The sequence below is a fragment of the Homo sapiens genome, chromosome 4, assembly GCF_000001405.40.
Source record: "Homo sapiens chromosome 4, GRCh38.p14 Primary Assembly".
In the NCBI taxonomy this organism is placed as follows: Eukaryota; Metazoa; Chordata; class Mammalia; order Primates; family Hominidae; genus Homo; species Homo sapiens.
In genome coordinates this window covers 173,460,336-173,484,113 of record NC_000004.12, presented here as the reverse complement: position 1 = coordinate 173,484,113, position 23,778 = coordinate 173,460,336, and the positions used below count along the sequence as shown (strand labels likewise).

The window sequence follows — 23,778 nt, the reverse complement described above, 5'->3', positions numbered from 1 at the left end:
TATATTATATATTATATATGGTATATTATATATTATATCATGTATATTATATATTATGTATATTATATTTATAATTATATATGTATATTATAATATATTATATAATATGTAATATATATCATATATAATATACTATATATTATATAAAATATATAATATATTATATATGATTTATATTATATATGAAATATATAACATATATTATATGAAATATATATAACATATATTATATGAAATATATATAACATATGTAATATGAAATATATATTATATATTATATATTATATATATTATATATATTACATATCATATATCATATATATGATATATGATATATCATATATCATATATATGATATATCACATATAATATATCATATATATGATATATCACAATATAATATATCATATATATGATATATCACAATATAATATATCATATATATTATATATCACAATATAATATATCATATATATTATATATCACAATATAATATATCATATATATTATATATCACAATATAATATATCATATATATTATATATCACAATACAATATATAATATATATTATATATCATAATACAATATATAATATATATTATATATCAGAATATAATATATAATATATTATATATCAGAATATAATATATAATATATATCATGATATAATATATAATATATACTATATCATGATATAATATATAATATATATCATGATATAATATATAATATATAATATAATATTACATATAATATATAATATATCATATGTAATATATAATATATAATATATGATATGTAATATATAATATATCATATATGATATATCATATATTATATATCATATATGATATATCATATATGATATATCATATATTATATATAATATATATATTATATGATATATCATATAATATATATCATATATAATATATTATATGTTATATGTTATATATTTCATATGTATATTTCATATATAAAATATACATTATATATAAAATATATGTAATATATAGGATAAATTATATAATATATATAAAATATACATGAAATATATTATATATAAAATATACATGAAATATATTACATATAAATTATATAATATATTATACATATGAAATATATAATATATTATATATTATATATACAATATGTACAATATATTATATATTTCATATATAATATATTATATGTATTATATATTTAATATATATTATATATAATATATAACATATAAAAAATATATATGAAATATATAATATAGTGTGTGTATGTGTGTGTGCATGTGTGTGTGTGAGACAGGGTCTCACTTTGTCACCCAGGCTGGAGTCCAGTGGCACATTCATAGCTCACTGCAGCCTTGACCTCCTGGGCTCATGTGGTCCTCTGGCCTCAGCCTCCCAAGTAGCTAGGATTACAGGCACACATCACCACACCTGGCTAAGTTTTCAATTTTTTGTAGAGACAGGGTTTTGCTTTGTTGCCACGGCTGGTCTCAAACTTCTCACCTCAAGTGGTCCTCCAGCCTTAGTCTCCCAAACTTCTAGGATTACAGACATGAGCCACTGTGCCCTGTGCTTCTGCCTTTGCCTCATTCTTTTGGACAGAGTAGCTGTCACAAGGCCAGCCCAGATCAATGGACAAGAAAAAAGACAGTATGTTTAGATGGAAGTTACTGCAAAGACCTGTGACTGTATCTAATTTACCACACTTCCCCTCAGAAAAATGCTTCTACACTAGTACACATGACATATGTTAATTTCAGGGGAATTTGTGGATCCTTCCAACCCAAGTTAAGAGTCTCTAACCTATTCTAACCATGGATATATCTAAATGAGGATATTAACACTCAAGAAGACTAAAGATTTGCCCAAAGTCAAACAGATATTTATTTAGTTACACAAGCACATAAGTGTGGCCTATATCATTCAGGTTTTATAACTCCCAGTCCCATGCCATTTCCATTATGCCCAACTGCTAATTACTTTATTCTTACAGGAAATGAATTCCAGCAATTTTATAATGATCACTCAACCACCAAATCAAGATAATGTAAGTCAAATGTATACAGTAAAATATAAATATTTAATTTAATCCATATACTCTACACATAAATCCAGATAGGAAAGTAGGCTGATTAAAAAAAAAAGTTGACTCTTGAACAACACAAGGGTCAGAGGTGCTGACACCCTTGCAGTCAAAAATCTGAGTGTAACTTTCGACTCCCCAAACACTTTACTAATAGCCTACTGTTGACTGGAAGCCTTACTGATAACATAAACAGCTGATTAACACATATTTTGTGTTAGATGTATTATATACTGTATTCTTACAGTAAAGTAAGCTAGAGAAAAGAAAATTTTAATAAGAAAATCACAAGGAAGAGAAAATATATTAACTTTCATTAAGTGGAAGTGGATTATCATAAAGGTCTTCATCCGTGTCCTCTTCAAGTTGAGTAGGCTGAGCAGGAAGAGGGGTTGGTCTTGCTGTCTCAGGGGTGGCAGAGGCGGAAGAGGTGGAGGATGTGGAGGGGGAGGCAGGAGAGCCAGACACACTTAATGTAACTTTTACTGAAAAAAATCCACATATAAGCGGACCCTCGCAGTTCAAACCTGTGTTGTTCAAGGGTTTGTAGATGTGAGGAGTAAATTACTTTACTAATTTGCTAAGTGGCATAATTATTTATAAATTGTGAACTGTTCCCTAAGCCTAGCTTTCTTTTTACTTATTGGTACTCACTATGCTTCAATTAACTCACGTGGAAAAGTTGATTACAACAGATAATTTGTGATTACCAGGGTTGTTTTCACTTTAAACCATTCACTGATATGAACAGCAAGTAACCAATTTATATGGATTTAAACATAAACACCAGACACTGTTACCACTGCAAATTTTTGTTTGTATCTCATAAGATAAAGATAATTAAAGGGAAATTGATGTGGTTTAAATTATTGCCATTTTGTTGCTGTTGTTGACACTTGAGGGCTGCACCTGTGCTTAATTTTTAAAAATTATCAGTATGTTATTTTATTTTTAAATTTTTTGCTCATTTGGAAGGGTGATCTGGTCCAAATGGATAGAGAAAAACTAATTAGTTTTGAAACACCTGATTTTCATTAGCAACTAATAAAAGCTAAGGTTTTTTTCCTTACCTTTTTATCATAAAAATGTTCAAACATGCAGAGAAATAGAAAAAATAATACAATGCATACCCATAACCCAATACATTTAATTAATAATTGTTATTATTTTGCCATCTTTGCTTCATCTGTTTTTTTGTGGTTGCTAGACCATTTTAAAATCAATCACCCTCCAGTACTTCAGCATACATTTAAAAAAAAATGAGGACACCTTTTTAACATAACCAAATACCAATATATGCCACTTAATAAATTCACAGTAATTCCTTAATATCATATAATACGCAGTCCATATTCAAATGATTATCATGGTTTTATAGGGTTTTTAAGAACATACTGTTTTAAAATTAATTTTTATTTATAATTGCTACATAATAATTGCACATTCTTATGGAGTACAGTGTGATGTTTCAATGCATGTAGAATTGTATAATGATCAACTCAGTATATGTAGAGTTTTTTTCCAATTTTGAATCTAATCAAGGAACACATGTGACAATTGTCATGTCGTCCATCTTTTTTAATCCAGAGCCCAGCCCTGTTTCCCCTTTTCTCATGCTATTGACTTTTTTAAAAGGCCAGGCCTTAAAAAAAAACAAAACAAACAAACAAAAAAAACCAGTCCTGGTCTTCATCACTTTTTTGTACTGTACTAAGCCTGTCTTATAGAAGGCCCCAGTTCTAGACTTTTTGATTCTTTCTTTAAAGTGGCTTAACTTGTTCCTCCATCCTCTGTATAGCCTACACACCTAAAGTCTTGACTTGATTCAGGTTACACATTTTGAAGAATACTCATAGATGAGGCTATCTCCTTCATACTGCATGGCAGCAGCCAGGCATGGTGGCTCACACCTGTAGTCTCAGCTACTCAAGAAACTGAGATGAGAGGATCATGCTTGAGCCCAGGAGTTGGAGGCTGTAGTGAGCTGTGATCATGCCACTGCCCTCCAACCTGGGTGACAGACCGAGAGGCTCTCTCACAAAAAAAATTTTTAATAAAAATTTTAAAAACATAGTGCATGGCATCAGGATCACATTGAGCCTGGTTTTCTCACTATTAGTGATGCCAAGTTTGATTCCCAAATTAAGGTAATGGCAACCACAATTCTCTTTACTATTAAGATATATTTTCCCTTTGTCAATTCGCTAGTCATCCTGGGGTGATAATTTGGTGCCATGCAAATACTGAGTTCCCTAAAGTTAGCTTTCTTTCAAAAATAACAGGTCGGCTGGGCATGGTGGCTCACGCCTGTAATCCCAGCAATTTCGAAGACGGAGGCGAGTGGATCACTGAGGTCAGGAGTTTGAGACCAGCCTGAGTAACATGGTGAAACCCCGTCTCTACTAAAAATACAAAAATTAGCCAGGCATGGTGACACAAGCCTGTTATCCCAGCTATTTCGAAGGATGAGGCAGGAGAATCGCTTGAACCCAGGAGGCAGAGGCTGCAGTGATCCTAGATCATGCCACTGCACTCCAGCCTAGGCAACAGAGCAAGACTCTGTCTCAAAAAAAAAAAAAAACAAAAAAACAAACAAACAAAAAAAACAGGTTGTGCTTTTAATTTTAATAAGGAATTATACTCAGTTTTTCAAAGCTTTCATCAGCTGGGTATATTCAACCTAAAATTATGAAAATGAACCAGTGTCTACAATAAACCTTTACGTAACTATTCATTTTCTTCTCATATATCTATTGGTTTTAGTACCATTCTGGTTTACAGTAGTCATGCATGCTTGGACTCGTAAATTGGGCATTGGTTTCCAGAGTTCTGTGCAGGAGTCCCCTTCTTTACTCATGTTATTTTATGGCTATTACATGCCAAGTTCAGAATTGGAGCGGTGTAGAATGTGGTGGAAATGAATGTCATGCTGTCATCCATAATAAAATTAGATCAGAGATGCACCCAGTGTACGAACAAGCCAGGCCTTACTGTGGGAATGACGGCTAGTAGACTCTTAGTATAGAGTAATTGTGCCACACACTGAAATTGAAATGTGGATCCCTTGAAGTGACCTCTTTCCTTTTTTAAGCAGGTCAAAAGACATGAATGAAAACACACCAGTAACCAAACATGGTAATATCAAGCCTAATTAGGAATCAAACATCATTCCTAAAGTCTGTGTCCGTTCGTTTTCTTTATTTCATTTGTTTTTGTTTCTTCCTCATCTGTGATTCATTTTCCTTTCGTCATCTTCCACAGTGGCTTCTGCAAGAATATTGGTCTTGAAATGTACAACATGGCTCGCACCCACTTCAAACACTGTTTAAAATCTCATTTATTATTTTGTACTGTGGTCTCACTTAAAAGCTGGTGTTACTGAGACTGCAGAGTACATGCCTTTAATTCCCAGGGTGAAGGGGTGTGGGGTGTGAGGGAAGAGAGAGAGCAGGAGCAAGCAAGAGGAAAAGCTAACACTGAGACAGTCCACACAGAAATGCGAGGAAAATAAGAATATTCAGAAGTCTTATAGGCAGATGAATTCTCTCTGGACACTAGAAAACTGGAAACTACCCAAACCCAAGCTTAGTAAAGTACAGAAAAGTGATGAAGACCAGGACTGGTTTTTTTTGTTTTTTGTTTTTTGTTTTTTTCTTCCATCAAGAGGTTAGTTGCCTAAGGACCACATTCCCAGGATTACAAGGATTTGCCTTAATAGCCCAGAGAACATTTATCTGCAGTAGAATTATTAAGATGAAGAGATGAGATTCTATGTGAGTCACCTCTTACATGAGACTATATTTCAAACTTAAAATTAACACTGGGAGTAATCATAGTACATTGAGATCAGCAGGTTAAAGCTATATTAAGTCGGAATTATGTTTTTCCAATTAACTTTAATTTTCAGATACTAAAATCCAGGTGTTCTGGGGAGCCAAGCCCAGTTTTTTTCCTCAGGGATTTATCTCCAAAATCCAGTTGGATCCCAGCTCTTTGAGAGGCCAAGGTGGGAGGATTGCTTGAGGCGAGGAGTTCAAGGCTAGCCTGGGCAGCATAATGAGATCCTGTTTCTACCAAAAAATTAAAAAATTACCTGGGTATGGTGGTGCATGCCTGTGGTCCCAGCTACTCAGGAGGCTGTGGGGGGACTATCACTTGAGACTGAGAGGTCAAAGCTGAAGTGGGCTATGATTATGCCACTGCTCTTCATCCTGGGCTACAGAATGAGATCCTGTCTCGAAGGAAGGAAGGAAAGAAGGAAGGAAGGAAGGAAGGAAGGAAGGAAGGAAGGAAGGAAGGAAGGAAGGAAGGAAGGAAGGGAAAAAAAAGAAAACCAACTGGGTTTAGCATTATTCCTTTAAAGAAAAACAAAAACAAGACCCTGTGCTGAAATATCTCACACCAGTAGCTTAATTATATTTATTCAACTAACTTTCCACTTTCCTTCCTCCACTCCCAGATAGAAAATAGTCACCTACAATTGAAAGCTGCTTGGGTATGGGCTGTGCTGCCTTGGAAGAGGAGAGTATCCCAGCTCTCCATAGGGTGTGTGCTAAATCGATGCACCCCCAACCCCAAAACATTTTGGGAATGACCGAATAAAAAGCACTTACCTAATAGGAAAGAGAAGAAGATGGGAGGGAAATTTCCCTGTTCCTGGTGCAATGGATATTTGTTCTCTTTTTCTAAGAAAGCTGTGAGTCACACCTTTATAAGAATCTCAAATTTCAGACTACCCATGTGTTTCAGGCAATTAATTACTCAGCCCCTCATTGTGGCAGGGTCTTTTCATTCTGGAAGTTGCAGTAAGATATGAGACACGAGATAAGTGAGCAGCAGGCATTGAACTACAATTTTCATTCCTCTTGTTGAAGGGAGCTTGGCTGGAAGAGCCAAGCTTCCACCTTTTATCTACTGATTCATTTGAAAAAGCTCCTCTTACATGCAGTGCTGCCATTTCCAACAACAAATTTTCAAATATCTGGCAGCCAATTCCTTCCTTCTGTTCCAGGTAAAACAAGGAACCAACACATACACATCACCCAGATATGCTAATTGTAGTCACTTATGATGGAAAATCTCATACATGTGAAAAAATTACCATGGAATGTTACTATGAAGGCTCCAAGCATTAGGGTAGCTTAGAGCTGAAAGGAATGTAATACTGGCTTCTTTTTAATTTTTTATTATTTTTTTCTTTTTTAGAGATGGGATCTTGCCCTGTCACCCAGGCTGGAGTGCTGTGGTGCAATCATAGCTCACTGCAGCCTCAACCTCATTGGCTCAAGTGATCCTCCTATCTCAGCCTCCTGAGTAACTAGGACTACAGGCCACCATGCCCAGCTGTGATGGCTTCTTATATCAGGCTGGAGATTCAGTATGCAAGAAATTTAACTTTATGATGCAATTAAAATTCTATTTCAAGCCCTTATGCAGCCAGTTCAGGAACTTTCCCTGTCCATATGCTGTTACCTGTGAATTCTGGGGTGGCTCACACAGAACCAAGGCATTGGGTGGGCTCGTGTGGTTCTGTAGGTTGTCTCTACTCAGTGCACACTGACTTGCGAATCAACCTGGGTTGTCTGTGGTCACAAATTCAATCCTTATGAGGCCTTTATTTCCATCTGCCTACCCTTCAATTCATTATATATATATATATATTTTTTTTTTCCCCCTCAGAGATTTACCTAGGAAATGAGGTCCAAGTTTCCTTTGTCTTAAATCTGTCAAGGTTTCTGCCCATTCCCCAAGAGCAGGGTGCAGGCCCTTGCCCAGGAGCCCACACTATCTGCCTCTCATGCTTGCCCACCATGCTTCTTCCCCCAGCCTTCTTCAATTTTGGTACCAAGGGCAAAACAGAATTGCTTTCAACGTCAGCTCCTCTCCTTGAGTGAGTGGCATTTTTTATTTTTAAACTGTGATAAAATATATATAATATAAAATTTACCATTTTAACCATTTTAAAATGTATATAGTTCATGGCATTAAGTACATTCACATTGTTATGCAACCATCACCACCTTCTGCTTCCAGAATTTTTTCATCTTTCCAAACTGAAACTCTATATCCATTCATCACTAACTGCCTCAGGCCCTGGCAACCACTCTTCTACTTTCTGTCTCTATGAATTTGACTATTCTAGATACTTTCTATTCCTATAAGTGGAGTTACATATTTGTCTTTTTATTACTGGCTTATTTCACTAACATACTATCTTCAAAATTTATCTTGTTGAAGCACATGTCAGATTTCCTTCCTATTTAAGTCTGAATAATATTCTGTTGTATGTATACACCATGTTTTCTTTATCCTTTCATCCAATGATTGATACTTGGCTTGTTTCCACCTTTTTTGACTATTGTGAATGATGCTGCCATGAACATTGGTGTATAGATATCTGCTTAAATCTCTGCTTTTAATCCTTTTGGATGCAAAAGGATTATACCCAAAAGGGGAATTGCTGGATCATATGGTAATTCTCTGTTTAATTGCTAAACTCTTTTTCACAGTGCTGCACCATTTACATTCCCACCAGCAATGTACAAGGGTTCCAATTTTTCTATATCTTTGCCTTCCAGTAAGTTTTAACAGGGGTGCTCTTGACACTTGGGGTCAGCCCTTCTTTGGTATGTAGGACTGTCCACTCCTTGCAGAATGTTTAGCATCCTTGGCCCCATCTACTACTTGTAGATAATGGGATATTTCCCAGTTATTGTGACAAACATCTCCCCAATCCCACACAACACAATTCCAAATGTCCCCTAAGGGGTGGAAACAAGCTGCCTGGTTAGAACCCCTGGTCTATGCCATGAATCCTTGCTGCTTCCCCAAGGCCTTGTCTCTGTAAACTCAAAATCCTAGTAGAGGCTCTTTTTTTTCTCTTTCTGTCACATTCCTTTCTTGGTTCAATAAGCAGAAGATGATATAGTTTAATTGAATGGATGAGACATGAAGGGGAGAGAGAGAATACAGAGGAAAAGAGAGAGAGATTTCAAAATATTAACTCACCACACATGGATTTTTCATCTTATTTACTAGTTTAATTGAATGGAGGAGACATGAGGGGGTGAGAGAGAATACAGAGGAAAAGAGAGAGAGAGATTTCAAAATATTAACTCACCACACAAGGATTTTTCATCTTATTTACTTTCTTGTTGAGAAACTAAGGGTTTTTGTGATCTTTATTTTCTTGTCAGACAAATTGAGATTTTCTAAAAGGACCTCAGGCTTACAACATATCCTTCAAAAAAGGATATGAGCTATATTAAGGAAATGAATGTAATGATAAATACAACTCTTGTGTCTTTCCTGGGAAATGTTACACTGGTCTAGGGATGTCTCTGACTATGACTTGCCTAGTCTCTTAACTTCTCATGACATCCGACACCTCCAATGGGAAAGTGAAGTTCAGTTAAATGGTTGCCAAGTGTCATCCCTTAAAAACAGTGTAATTGTAGGCAGTGATCAGTAAATAATCACAAAAACTCACATATAATTTGAAGGAATCAAATTTCTGAAAGTGTAAAGAATTTCTGACTCTTTTTCCCACTTCATTTAAATTTTATATTACCTTTTCAAGTTTTATTTTCATAACTTTCTGATGTTCTGTCTCCCCATCCACAAATCTGGATTTACAGAGTGGTTCAATTCCTGAAAAGTGGTCACTAATTACATAATGCTTAAATTGAAATAATTTTCTCACAAAAATATACAAAAGCAAAGGATGTATTCCCATCAATTGGAAAAATTGGCTATTATGCTACCTCCCCCATTTCTGTATTGCACGAATGTGAAGTTAGTCAATAGTCTAAGATAAAATATGTAATAATTGAATTTTAAACTTTTTTTTTTCTTGAGATGGAAACTCGCTATGTCACCCAGGCTGGAGTGCAGTGGCATGATCTTGGCTCACTGCAACCTCTGCCTCCTGGATTCCCTTGCCTCAGCCTCCTGAGTAGCCGGGATTACAGACAAGCACCACCACACCTGGCTAAGTTTTGTATTTTTAGTAGAGATGGGGTTTCACCATGTTGGCCAGCCTGGTCTCAAACTCCTGACCTCAGGTCATCCACCAACCTCAGCCTCCCAAAATGCTGGGATTACAGGCGTGAGCCACCATGTCCGGCCCAGGAAGTCAACTTTTACCAGATGTGTTTGTTGTTCTAAATCACAAATCTAACCAAACCATTATCTGCCATGACTGCCACTGTGTCATATAACCGCCATCGGGATGTATTCAAGCTCTTTAGCACAACAGAGTGAGGCCTCTGGGATGTGGTGGCTGCAACCCCCCACGGCCTTATTGCCTCCCAAGCCCCTCAGACCCCACTGCCCTAGCCAGATCTGCATATTTACAATTGTCCTGCACCTACGACTGAGCCCTGCCTCTTTTTCCTTATGCACAGAGTTCCCTTCTTTCACAAAGCTCCTTTCCTTTTCTCTCTGCATCTTAAACACCACTCTCATTTTTCAGGATTAATCCCAGGATTGAGGGCTCTCCTTCTCCCACCCTCCAACAGCTAGATCATCTGTTCCCTCCATGGGCACTCCTACTGTATCTTAGAGAAACTTCTCTCACATCGCCTACACCCAGGTGGCTGCAAAATTTATTGCCCAACTTAGGGTATGTTTGCAAATGATAGAGAGCTATTCGTAGATTGAGAAAAGAGATAGAAAAGAGGACTGCTCTAGGCTAATACGATGTGTGGTCAGGCCAGCCTACCATTAACACTTTCCTCCTAATTTATTTATTTGGCTGTCCCACCTTGCCAGACAGAGTTCCTAGCTGGCAGAAACCAGGTTTATTTTCTTTGGTATCTGTGTGCCATATGCCTGGCACAGTGCCTAGCATATAGTAGATACTCAACTAAAGTTTGTGGAACACATTCATGGCTAGATAGATGAATTAATCAACACATTAAGTGGGGGCTACTTTTTTAGGATAGTTTTTATTCCAACAATAGCTTTGAAGATAATGTTGCAATGGCTAACTAATTTTTCCTTAAATTGGCTAAGCATGTCTTTAAATGTTCTATGGCCAAATACTTGAGCTTATAATATAGGCAAAATTCTTTGCATGTAAATTTATTAGCATTTAATCATATAATTATTAAAATTACTGAATCATGTGATTGAATCTCACCTGCTGTGTTGGGTAATTCTGTGTCAACTTGACTGCCCCACAGGGTGCCCAGTCATTTGGTCAAACATTACCCTGGGTGTGTCTGTGAGTGTGTTTTTGGGTGAGATTAACATTCTCAGCAAAAAAGATTTCCCTGCCTAATGTGGGTGCACTTCATCCAATCAATTGGCTAGAATAAAAGACCCAAACCTCCCTCAAGTAAGAGGTAATTCCTCCTGCCTGTCTGCCTTTGAGCTGGGACATCGGATTTTCCTGCCTTTAGACTCACACTAAAACATCAGCTCTTCTTGAGCCTTGGGTCAGCCAGCTTTTAGACTGGAACTGTATCATTGGCTCTTCTGGTTCCCAGGCCTTTGGACTCAGACTACAACTACACCATCAGCTCTCCCAGGTCTCCAGCTTTCTGACTGCAGATCTGGGGACTTCTCAGACTCCACAATCACATGAGCAAATTTCTTATGATAAATCCCTTCCTATACTTTATTAGTTCTGTCTCTCTGGAGAACCCTAATACACTTGGCAAAAGAAAATCTAATTTTGTCAAGTTCATCCACGAAGTATCACAGCTTCACGTAAAAATAATGCTTGTAAAGTTATATACTGGAGATAAAACTGGTAAAGAAAATCATAAATGATAAAGGTAGACTACATGTAAACACACCTTGCATATTATTAGTTTACTCCATGGCCATATTTTAGACATTGAATTTTATTTTTCTTTGTTTTCCTTTTTAAAAGAAAAATTCTTCCATGATATATTCACTGCATAACAGCTAAAAGATTTGTGCCTCAATTAAGGAAGAAATGGTAAGAAAAAGAAGGCACCCAAGTGTTAAGAAGTCAGTATGGTTCTTGCTTTCAAAACTCATTTTCCAGCCGGGCACGGTGGCTCACGCCTGTAATCCCAGCACTTTGGGAGACCAAGGTGGGCAGATCACCTGAGGTCAGGAGCTCGAGACCAGCCTGACCAACATGGAGAAACTCTATCTCTACTAAAAATACAAAATTAGCTGGGCGTGGTGGGGCATGCCTATAATCCCAGCTACTCGGGAGGTTGAGGCAGGAGAATCGCTTGAACCCAGGAGGCGGAGGTTGCGGTGAGCTGAGATCGCGCCATTGCACTCCAGCCTGGGCAACAAGAGCAAAAAAGCAAAACAAAACTCATTTTCCATCTTCCACCCTTCAGGACTTAATAGCCTCTCCTGGGATGGGTATGCACATAGGCTACCAGAGTGACCATTTGCCAATACTTACCAGGCAAGTCAATCCAAAAACTGGTTTGCCTGAACATTTTTTTTTTCACTCTGAAATGGCCATTTTTTAATTTTTATTTTTTGTTGAATTAAATACTCATTGGAGTATAAAATGGTGTGTGTAGCAGGATGGACGAGGTTGGTAGAAACTTAAGACAAGATTATTCCAATTTCTGTACTATGAGCTGCCTCCAGGATGGGGTGATCCTTTGTAGAAATATTTCTTATTTTTATTTAATAAAAAGCCAAAGTTAGGATACCAATAATGCCAGCGGTCAGGCCCAGTGGCGGCTTGGCCATAATCAAAAAGCCTAGAAAATTCCAGAAGGTTTTGGTTCTCTAGTCCAAAACTGCATTGTTTTCTCCCAACTGTACCCAGTATTTATTAGGAAACTACCCTACCATGTGCTTGCCATTATACAGAATGATTCTAATACTTCAAAGGACTATTTGAATTGATTCTCATAAATCAATCAGATGGTTTCTTTTTTCTGACTATGACTCTACTTAGTATATAAGTATTTCTAATCTTAGTATCCAGGAGTAATGACTTCTAAAAATTCTTTGTGCACAGTCATAATTTTATCATGTGAACAGGGTTTCCATGTTTCTTTTAATTTTCAAAAAGCATATGGCATTTTCAGTTTCTATCTCTTCCTAAATACTTAATCTTTAAAGGTTAAAAATTAGCAGACTTTCCTTATTTCATTTTAATTCATGCCCTTTGATCTTTGGGGGAAAATGTGTTGAAAGTCTGTTGCTCACAGAGGAATTTTTAAAATGTTTTCCAGAGTCCACTGATTTTTATGAAGTTTATTAATTTTATTTACCTTTTGTCACTAAACTACGAACATATGTAACTTGAAGAAACTATTAAATAAACTTGTATTTTATGGCTATTAGTTAGAATGATGGTGCTTCTAAAAATTCCCACAATGGTGAAAAATAACAAATCAAGTTACTTAATTCAGATAATTTCCTTGAACTATATTAAAAGGGTCATATGGTTACTTTAATGTTGTATAAGACAAAAACTGATTTTAGTAAGTAAATGTCTTTATGAAGTACATTTAAAAATAGAAAATGAGAAGTGATCCAATTTGGGTCTTCGTTATTTGATTTGCTTTGGTGGAATGGTAATTTGTTTCTTCACAGTCTTTATAACCATGTACTCAGCAACCAAAGACTGCCTGACACGTCAGTATGACTGAAACACTCAGTTACCTGTGAGCCGGTCTCAGTCACTTAGACTGTAAGCTCCACAAAGGAGGGATTATGTCTCATTGTCTTGCATCTCTCATATGACCTGCATGGTGGGTTGCACAAAATAGATGCCCAATATAGGTTTCTGTACCAATTAAAAGTCTTGTTATCTTCTGTTCTTATAATAGTTTATACTATCTGGTAAACACATATTGAGATGCTTACCAATGATATCTTAAACAACAACAACAACAAAAACAACACATCCCGACCACCACCCATGCAAAAAAAAAAAAAAAAAAAAAAGAAAGAGGGAGAGAGAGAAAAAAGAGAAACGAAGGGGACAGATCACAAATATGAACTCTATCTCGTGTCCCCATTCCCCCTGACTCTGTCTGGGCATTCTTCCTGGGCTAGAGATGCTCTGCCTCCCAGCAGAAGACAAGAGCCCTAGAAAGACTGTCATTCATTTACTGGAGAGAGAAATGGTTCATCTACACACACACTCAGAGCCTGGCTAGCTACAAAGCCGTGGTCCGTGGTAGGATGTACGTCTTAGTGGAATAAGTAACCTTGAGCAGACAATGGATCCAGCAGTAACAAGCCTGCCCTGATGCCGGCGTAAATTCCGAAGGAGCTGGAGAACGATTCTTCCCTTCACTTTATCTAAATCCTCTGAAGGATGAGTGGGAGGATGGTTTCTTCTCCCTTCCTGAAGCTTGTTTTGTTGGTGCCTTATGCTAAGAGAACTCAGCAGATACAAATTTATTATTTTCTTTTAGACAGCATTTTCCCTGCAGTTAGAAGAAAACAGCAGCTCACATTGAAAAATATCTAATTCCCAAAATACGTGTTTCCAATAGGGAGTTTATAGAATTTGCTTCTTACCAAAGCAAAATCTTGAATACATGAAATCTAAAATCTTGCCAATTTAATGAATGCCTAATAATTTTTAAATAGCATATATCATTTTAATACATTAAACAGTTGGAAGATTGTTGAGGGATAATTTGTCAATTTTTTATTAAAAAGAAAATTCATAAAAATTAAATATTCTACATTTATTTTATATTATTATCTTGGCAATTTTATTTTTTATGACAAAATTCTGAGTCTGTTATATTATCCAAATCCTAAAAAGATTTAATTGATTACAGAAAAATTTATTGGGAAAAATTGCTTTGCCCCTCTTTTTTCTCTAAGCAATTCCTGAGTTTTAAAAATACTCCTTAAAGGAACTAATTTATTTTTCATGGCCCATCACCAATATCCAAGAGAGTATCCAATTTTTAAATTCTGAACCCTGTCTTGTGTGACTTTCAAACTAAATGAAATGAAGAGGCCTCAGGCAGTCTGTGTTTACACAGGGTGGCAAAATTAACCTTAAGTTACTTGGATCACTGCACTGGGGACACTTCAGAGCCTCTACTCAGGCTACTTTTGAGCATACTATGTATGTCGCTGTGCAGAAGCCTACCTCTTTCACTCTAGATAAAACAAGACTTTCTGAGCACTTACTCTGAGCAAAGCACGGTGCCGCAAGTACAAAGGTGGATAAGACTCAGTCCTTGATTTGATGGTCTTTGTTGGAATAGGTTTTCAAACTGTAATGTCACTGTGTCTCCCAGGGGCCAAAAGTTTGCTTTCATTGATGGGTTTCAAAGTAGGGATGAGTTTACTTATAAGTACACATTGTGTCATTAGTATGCTTGACTCTCCATGGTGCAAAATTTCTTTCTAATGCTGATCAATTGCAAACATGATAGAACAATGAAATACTTCCAGGACATTCTAAATCACTCTCCTCCTTGTGAGAAAATAGGGTAGAGAGCCTAGCCTGGTACAGGCAGCCATCCATGTCTGATGTGGGTCATCTCTGAGAATGACACTCCTCAAAGGGCCAGAGGGTGCTCTTTCTTCATTTCCCTTACACATGGGTGTTATTCAATACTTATCTAGAGCCATGTGTCACTTAACAACTGGAATATGTTCCAAGAAATCTGTCATTAGGCTATTTTGTTATTGTGTGATCACAGAGTGTACTTACACAAACCTAGGGTGGTATAGTTCACTGTACCACCAAGGCCATATAGTGTAGCCTAGGCTACAATATACCTAGGCTATATAGTATAGCCTGTAGCTCCTAGGCTACAAACCTGGACAGCATGTTACTGCACTGAGTACTGTAGCAATTGTTACACAGTGGTAACTATTTGTGTATCTAAACATATCTAAACATAGAAAAGATACAGTAAAAATACAGCAGTATAATCTTATGGGACCACCGTTGTATATGTGGTCCATCGTTGATGGAAACATTGTTATGTGGCACATGACTGTATATGCTTCGTATATAGTGAACATTCAGCAAAGGTTTTCATCAATGAATGGATAAATTGGCAACTTTTATGGGCTTAATTGGGCTAAAATATATACGGAGTCACTATTTGACTTAACACCTAGACATTATTTTACTGATATTTTTCAATAATTCTGTTTTTGTAAAGCCTTCCTTCCATTTGGGTGCAATTTCCACTTGGGGAAAATCTCATTCCCCATCCTCTTGTAATTAAAAAGCATGGTTTGTTTGTTTTTTTAGATTATTTCAAAATGTTCTCCTCTACTAATCCCAAAGCTTGCTAGCTTGCATGACTCTATGTGACAACATAATTGGGACATCAGAACACATGTGGCTTTTATAATTCAGATGAAATGAGATTGAGGCAGATTCAGTTAGCCTAGAGATACTAAACCTCAAAGGACCATTTTAACAAGAGTGTCCTATGCTAATATTTTGCACCAGCGGGAGGGGTTCTAAGAATTATAGGTGAATGTCCAAGTTAATCATTTTTTTCTAAGTTGTTGGCAAAGTTCTCCCAAAACAATCCAAGACAAAAATCTGGCCTCAGGTGACTAGCAATTTTTGTCCTCATGTTCAGTCTTGTCTACTCTCCCCATGCTCACATGAACCTAAAAGGTAAGAGTTAGATGCTAAGGATGACTGCTTTGCCTGTGTGCTTGCCTGTCTCTTGAGTGGATTCATTCACTTTTAATCTAGTGCATTGGCTAATCACTTAGGTTAAATTCTAGTCATCATATTACATAGTATAAAGGATGTCTGGATTCTACACCAATCCCAAAAAGCTAGATGATATGATTCTTTACTACAACAGGAAAATATCTTTTTTTTTCCAATGGACTGCTTACTCACATTCAAACAAGACAAGAATAGAGGGAATTAACATGATACATTAAGAAAAATGTATTTTCTTTAAAAATATTGCTTCAATTGGTTGTACATTCCATGGGGAATGTTTTTTAAAATCCAGATGATCAGAAAATTTCCAGCCCTCTGCTTTTTATGTAGAGATATATATGTCCCTTGTCCTAATATTAGGTCCAAATTTGGAAGAGGAGGAGAAAAAACTCATAACTAATAACATTCAGAAACTAGAGAAATTAGTTGATAGCCAAATTTATTTTTTTCCTGTGGACACTCATGAGCAAGGTGACTAGATTATGTTTGCTGAGTCAAATAGAATATTGACATACTTCAAATGAAGTAAATGAACATAACATTTCCGTATTACAAAATTTTACATTTTAAAAATTGTGTAGTATTCAAATTGATATCTAATTTTATAATTCACTATAGTTTTACAGCTTTCAGTGTGAAGTACATTACTTTGTCAACTATTATATGGCTGAATGCTGAAATGTCATTATCAGATGATCCACATACTTCAGATGCAGTATCAGAAAAAAGACTGAGTTAAGCATTTGGACTCTTTCTTTAAGTTTTTGTCAGATATTTATCAGGCCTGACATTATTTTTCCATTTTCCCTAAGTGGTTATCTTGTACCAAACCCAGCATTGCCTCTAATTGGAATCCTGGTCTCCCTTAACACTAACACTGTGTTGGTTTCATAACTCTGTATGAGGTTTCAATCCTAATTCTGCCATTTGACTGTATCTTCCCAACTGAAAGACCATGGAAAAAGTGTTGTGAACAGTAATGAAAGGACTTGGACTCTCACTCTTTCTGTAGACTGAAAAATTGTTGGTTAGGAATTCTTCACTTGGATTCCCTTCCTAGAATGGAATGTAACATATTCCAGCCGACACTATTCAAGGCAAGAAAATATATCATGATTAATTTGACAAATGACTGTAGACCCAGCACTGCTGTTTGGGAATTTTCCCTTTGAGTGCATTGCTTAGGACAAATTTATGTACCAAATAAAAAAGAAACTTGTTCCATTTGGCCACGAGTGTAAGCTCTCTGAAGTTGCACAGGATTTTTCTTCTTCTTCTTTTTAACCTGTATCCCCAACTTCAGACTGGCCATTTTGTACACAAATGGTCTTTAAACCAAGGGGAAGGGGATTTGGTTCCAAATTTGTGCCAAGTATCCTTTATTGCTGGTAATTATCCTCTCTGTTTGAAAGGAAGTTTTGGAGAAAAGGAAATGACACTCCCTTCATACCTGGGAAGACGAACCACTTGCCCGATGTGCACAAAGGTAAGGTCGAAGCACAGAAAGACAAATATTGCATGTCCTCATTCATATGTGGAAGTGAAAAAAGTGGATCTCATGAAGACAGAGAATAGATTGGTAGTTACCAGAGGCCAAGAAGGGGGAAGCGGAGGGAGGAAGGAGAAAAAAGAATATAAATTTATTTATTACCATTGAACTGTACACTTAGAAATGGTAAAGATGGTAAATTTTATCTATATATAAAATCTATATATGTATGTATATAATATGTATATATACAAAAAATATATATATGTAGGTATATAATTACCTCAATAAAAAAAATCCCCTCACCTAGGCCAAATAACACAACTTAATTATAGGAATGATATCACAGGAGGGACATCCCATTACTTCCTCACATCCTGCCCACACTCAAGGTGAGGGGACTATTCAGGGCATGTATATCAATGGTTGGGAACCTTGAAGGTCATCTTAAAATTCTGCCTACCATATTAATATTCATTGTATACTACAATTTATTTATCAGTTGCCCTGTTAATGGACATTCAGTTTCCATTTTTTTGGCCATTATGAATAAATCTGCTGAAAACATCTGGAAAAAAGGGAAGGTCAGGATTTTGTGTGTGTTGTCTATGCATGCACACGCACATACACAAATAAATTGTGGTTTAATATTCATAACATTTACCATTTTCACTATTTTTAAGTGTGTCATTCAGTGGCATTAAGTCCACTCATATTGTTGTACAACCATCACCACTATCTATTTCCAGTGTTTTCACCTTACCAAACAGAAAGTTTGTACCCATTTCAGAATAACTTCCCATTCCTCTCTTCTATCAGCAGCTGGTAACCACCATTCTACTTTCTGTCACTGTGAATTTGACTATACTAGGTACTTGATATAAGTGGAATTGTACAATGTTTTCATTTTATTACTGGATTATTTCACTTAACATAATGTCTTCAGGATTTTTCCATATTGTAGTATGTGTCAGAATTTCCTTCCTATGTAAGGCTAAACAATGTCCCATTGCATGTACATACCATGTTTTGTTTATCCATTCATCCATGATGGACATTTGGGTTGTTTCTACCTTTTGGCTATGGTGAATGATGCTGCGATGAACATGGATGTACAAATCTCTGTTCAAGTCTCTCCTTTAAATTCTTTTGTGTATATACCCAGGAATAGAACTGCTGAGTTATTTAGCGGTTTCAAGTTTAACTTTTTGAGAAACTGCCAAACTGTCTTTCACAGCAGCTGTGCCACTTTACAGGCCCACCAGCAAAGCATGAGATTTCCAATTTCTCCATATCCTCAGCAACACTTGTTATTTTTTGGTAGTTGTTGTTGTTTTATAAGAACCATCCTAAGAGGTGCACACCCACCTATATACTTTTAACATTTTGAAAATGATACTTAAGACAATATAAGGGTACTATTCTGATAGTGTTTCTTTACAACCACAATGTTTGGTTAATTTGGTGGTTATTTTGTTAATTGAGAAGGTACAATTAGTGGTGCTTCCAACTGAATCCATCAACTAAACTTCCTGAAAACCCTGAATAAACACGTTCTAGTCCTGTTTTATGGACAGCCATGACCTGTGACTCTGTGTTTATTAAAGTTCATTTTATTTTTTGGGTTTAGAGGTAATGTTAAAAAGTGAACTGGGATATCTCTAGAAATTTTTCATAAAATATTGAGCTGGTTGAAATAAAAGTGATTTTTATTTCATTATTTAGGTAATTTCAATATTCTACTTTACTCATGTGTTCAGATGCTGTCAAGTAGTGAGATGCTAATAATATCTTTTAGAAGCCCCATTCTCCAACAATCCCCACCCTTCCACTGAAATAGAAGATTGTAAACACTGGTCAACTTACTTGACCACAGACTCTTTTAACAGTTTGAAAATCTAGTCATAAATATTGCTTGACTGCTGCTTGAATTGGCATTCTCCCCCCATTGTCCGTTGAATCTTGGCTCAGCTGCCTGTTATGCCACCAGCTCAGTTCCTTTGCTTTTTGATTGATCCACTGGATAGAACGCCAGCCCCATGTTACCCATTAGTATATGAGCCCCACCCACTCAGCTCCTTCTCCCCAACCTTCCAGGATTCTCAGTGTTCATTGTCACTGGTATTTCATACAGTCTATAACCACAAAGGTTTCACTGGTATAAACACAAAATCACAAAATATCAGAACTTAGGGGTCACAGAGGAAAATGACCAAGATAGGTTAAAGAGTTTATTTGGAGCTAATGACCACCAGATAAAGAATAAGAATTCCTGTCTACTGCTTCTCAGTTCAGGTTCCTTCCCTCAATGGTACAGCCTTTCTTTGGAGAGAACCCATTCTGATTACAGATACCAGACAGAACTATTAAAAACCAAGGTGGGCAGATCACTCGAGGTCAGGAGTTCGAGACCGGCCTGGCCAACATAGTGAGGTGGGCCTCTACTGAAAATACAAAATTTAACTGGGCATGGTGGCGTGTGCCTGTGGTCCCAGCTACTCAGGAGACTGAGGCAGGAGAATCACTTAAACCCGGGGGGGCAGAGGTTGCAGTGAGCCGAGATCACGGCACTGCACTCCAGCCTGGGCAACAGAGTGAGATTTCTTCTCGAAAAAATAAATAAATAAATAATAAAAACAAAAACCTGTATTCCAGGAATGCAAGTTTGTGGTAATTCTCAGAATCCAGGAAGGGTCTTCAACCTTATTCCTACACCCAAGGCAGCTCTTCCACAGGGCAGTGTAGAGCCTGTCAAGGCAAAGGGCAAATTAGTCCATTTACATTCAATGTCATTATTGATAAGTAGGGACTTACTCCTGCCATTTTGTTAGTTGTTTTCTGGTTGTTTTGTGGCCTTCTTTCTTTCTTTCATTCCTGCCTTCCTCTAGTGGAGATGATTTTCTGTGGTGATATGATTTAGTTTCTTGCTTTTTAATTTTTGTGTGTCCGTTGTATGTTTTTTGGTTTGAGGTTACCATGAGGCCTGAAAATACTATATTATAACCCATTATTTTACCCTGATAACAACTTAACACTTTGCATAAACAAACAAGCAAAAAGAAAACTAATAAAAACTTGCCTTAATTTCATCTCTCACTTTTTAACTTTTTGTTGTTTCTATTTATATCTTATTGTACTATGTCTTGAAAAGTTGTTGTAGTTATTATTTTTGATTGGTTCATCTTTTAGTCTTTCTACTTAAGATAAGAGTAGCTTACACACCACAGTTACAGTGTTATAATATTCTGTGTTTTTCTGTTTACTATTACCAGTCAGTGTTGTACCTTCAGGTGATTATTTATGGCTCATTAATATCCTTTTCTTTCTGATTGAGGTACTCCCTTTAGCATTTCTTGTGGGATGGGTCTGGTATTAATGAAATTCCTCAACTTCTATTGTCTGGGAAAGTCTTTATTTCTCCTTCACGTTTGAAGGATATTTTCACTGGATATACTATTTTAGGGCAAGAGGGTTTTTTTCTTCAGCACTTTAAATATGCCATGCTGCTCTCTCCTGGCTTGTAAGGTCTCCACTGAAAAGTCTGCTGCCAGAAGTATCGGAGCTCCATTGTTTGTTATTTGTTTCTTTTCTTTTGCTGCTTTTAGGATCCTTTCTTTATCCTTGACCTTTGGGAGTTTGACTATTAAATGCCTTGAGGTAGTCTTCTTTGGGTTAAATCTACTTGGTGTTCTATAACCTTGTTGTACTTGGATATTGATATATTTCTATAGGTTCGGGAAGTTTTCTATTATCCGTTTGAATAAACTTTCTACCTCATCTCTTTCTCTACCTCCTCTTTAAGGCCAATTACAGATTTGCCCTTTTAAGGCTATTTTAAAGCTATTTTGAGGCTATTTTCTATATAGATCCTGCAGGATCTTTTTTCTCCTCTGACTGTGTATTTTCAAATATGTTGTCTTCAAGCCCACTAATTCTTTCTTCTGCTATTAAAGGGGTTTGATACATTCCTCGGTATGCCAATTGCATTTTTTGGCTCCAGAATTTCTGCTTGATTCTTTTTTTTTAATTATTTCAATGTCTTTCTTCAATTTAGCTGATAGAATTCTGAATTCCTTTGGTGTTATCTTGAATTTCTTTGTGTTTTCTCAACACAGCTAATTTGAATTCTCTGTCTGAAAGGTCACGTATCTCTGTTTCTCCAGGATCGGTCCCTGGTACCTTATTTAGATCATTTGGTGAGGTCACATTTTCTTGGATGGTGTTGATGCTAGAAGATGTTCTTTGGTGTCTGGGCATTGAAGGGTTAGGTATTTATTGTAGTCTTTACTATCTGAGCTTATTTATAGCTGTCTTTCGTAGCAAGGCTTTCCAGATATTTGAAAGGACTTGGGTGTTGTGATCTAAACTGCTTTTGCTTTAAGGGGCACCCCAAGCGCAGTAATGCTGTGGTTCTTGCAGTCTCGTAGAGATACTGCCTTGATAGTCTTGGACAAGATCCAGGAGAATTATCTGGATTACCAGGCAGAGACTCTTGTTCTTTCCCCTTACTTACTCCCAAACATACAGAGTCTCTCTGTTCTGAGCCACCTAAAGCTGGGGGGTGGAGTAACACGAGTACCCCTGTGACCACAACCATTATGACTAAACTCATAATGAGGCCACAGTGCTGGGTCTCACCCAAGGCCTGCTATAACCACTCCATGACTACTGTCTATGTTTGCTCAAGGCCCTGGGGCTCTGCAATCTGCAGGTGGCAAAGCCAGCCAGGCCTGTGTTCTTCCCTTCAGGGCAGCAAGATTTTCCAGGCCCCGGGTGGGCCCAGAAGTGCCATCCAGGAGTCAGGAACTAGACTGAAAAACCTTAGAAGTCTACCTGGTATTTTATTGTATTGTGGCTGAGCTGGCACTCAAACCATAAGACACAGTCCTTCCCACTCTTCTCTCCCCTTTCTAAAAGCAGAGGACACCCCTGCCCCTGGTAGGCACCATCACCCCCGGCCATGAGGAGTACTGCCAGACTACCACAGTTGATCTCCTAAGGCCCAAGGTCTCTTAAGTCAGCTTGTGGTGAATGCTGCCTAGCCTGGTAATCACACTTCAGGGCAGCAGGCTCCCCTCTGGCCCAGGGCAGGTTCAGAAATGCCATCCAAGAATCAAGTCCTGGAATCGTGGACCCTAGGAGCCCACTTGGTACTTTACCCACTGTGGCAGTGTTGATACCTGAAGCCAGCACGTCTCAGAGGCTCACCAAGGCCCTCGATGTAGTACCTGGCTATCACTGCTGGTTATTTAGGGCCCAAGGGCTCTTCAGTTAGCAGGTGATAAATGTTGCCAGGACTGGGTCCTTTCCTTCAGGGCACGGGGTTCCCTTCTGGACCAGGGTGTGTCTAGAAACACTGTCTTGGGGCAAGGGCCTGGAATGGAGGCCTCATGAGTCTGACCAGTGCCATATCCTACTGTGGCTTAGCTGGTATCCAAGATGTAAGACAAAGTCTTCCTCATTCTTCCCTCTCCTCTCCTCAAGTGAAAGGAGAAGGTCTCTTTTGAAGCTGTGAGCTGTGCAGTCTGGGACTAGAGGAGGGGTGATGCCAGCACTTCTTTGGCT

General features: G+C 37.1%; 1 protein-coding gene and 1 long non-coding RNA gene across 3 annotated transcripts in view; one reads left to right on the top strand and one right to left on the bottom strand.

Moving 5' to 3' along the window:
- SCRG1 (stimulator of chondrogenesis 1) overlaps window positions 1-23,778 on the top strand; it is a 134,444-nt gene that overhangs the window by 35,031 nt on the left and 75,635 nt on the right. The window contains exon 2 of one of the 2 annotated variants that reach the window (XM_047449563.1): window positions 18,141-18,210. The gene's annotated coding sequence lies outside the window, so the exon portion shown is untranslated. Of the gene's footprint in view, window positions 1-18,136; window positions 18,211-23,778 lie in introns of both variants that reach the window. The other variant, NM_001329597.2, reaches the window with a different exon arrangement.
- On the bottom strand, window positions 1,867-18,052 carry LOC112267917 (uncharacterized). The gene is made up of 3 exons (XR_002959833.2): window positions 6,703-18,052; window positions 6,183-6,320; window positions 1,867-5,356 (listed from the first exon to the last, which is right to left on the bottom strand). It is a non-coding gene; the product is annotated as an uncharacterized LOC112267917 (long non-coding RNA).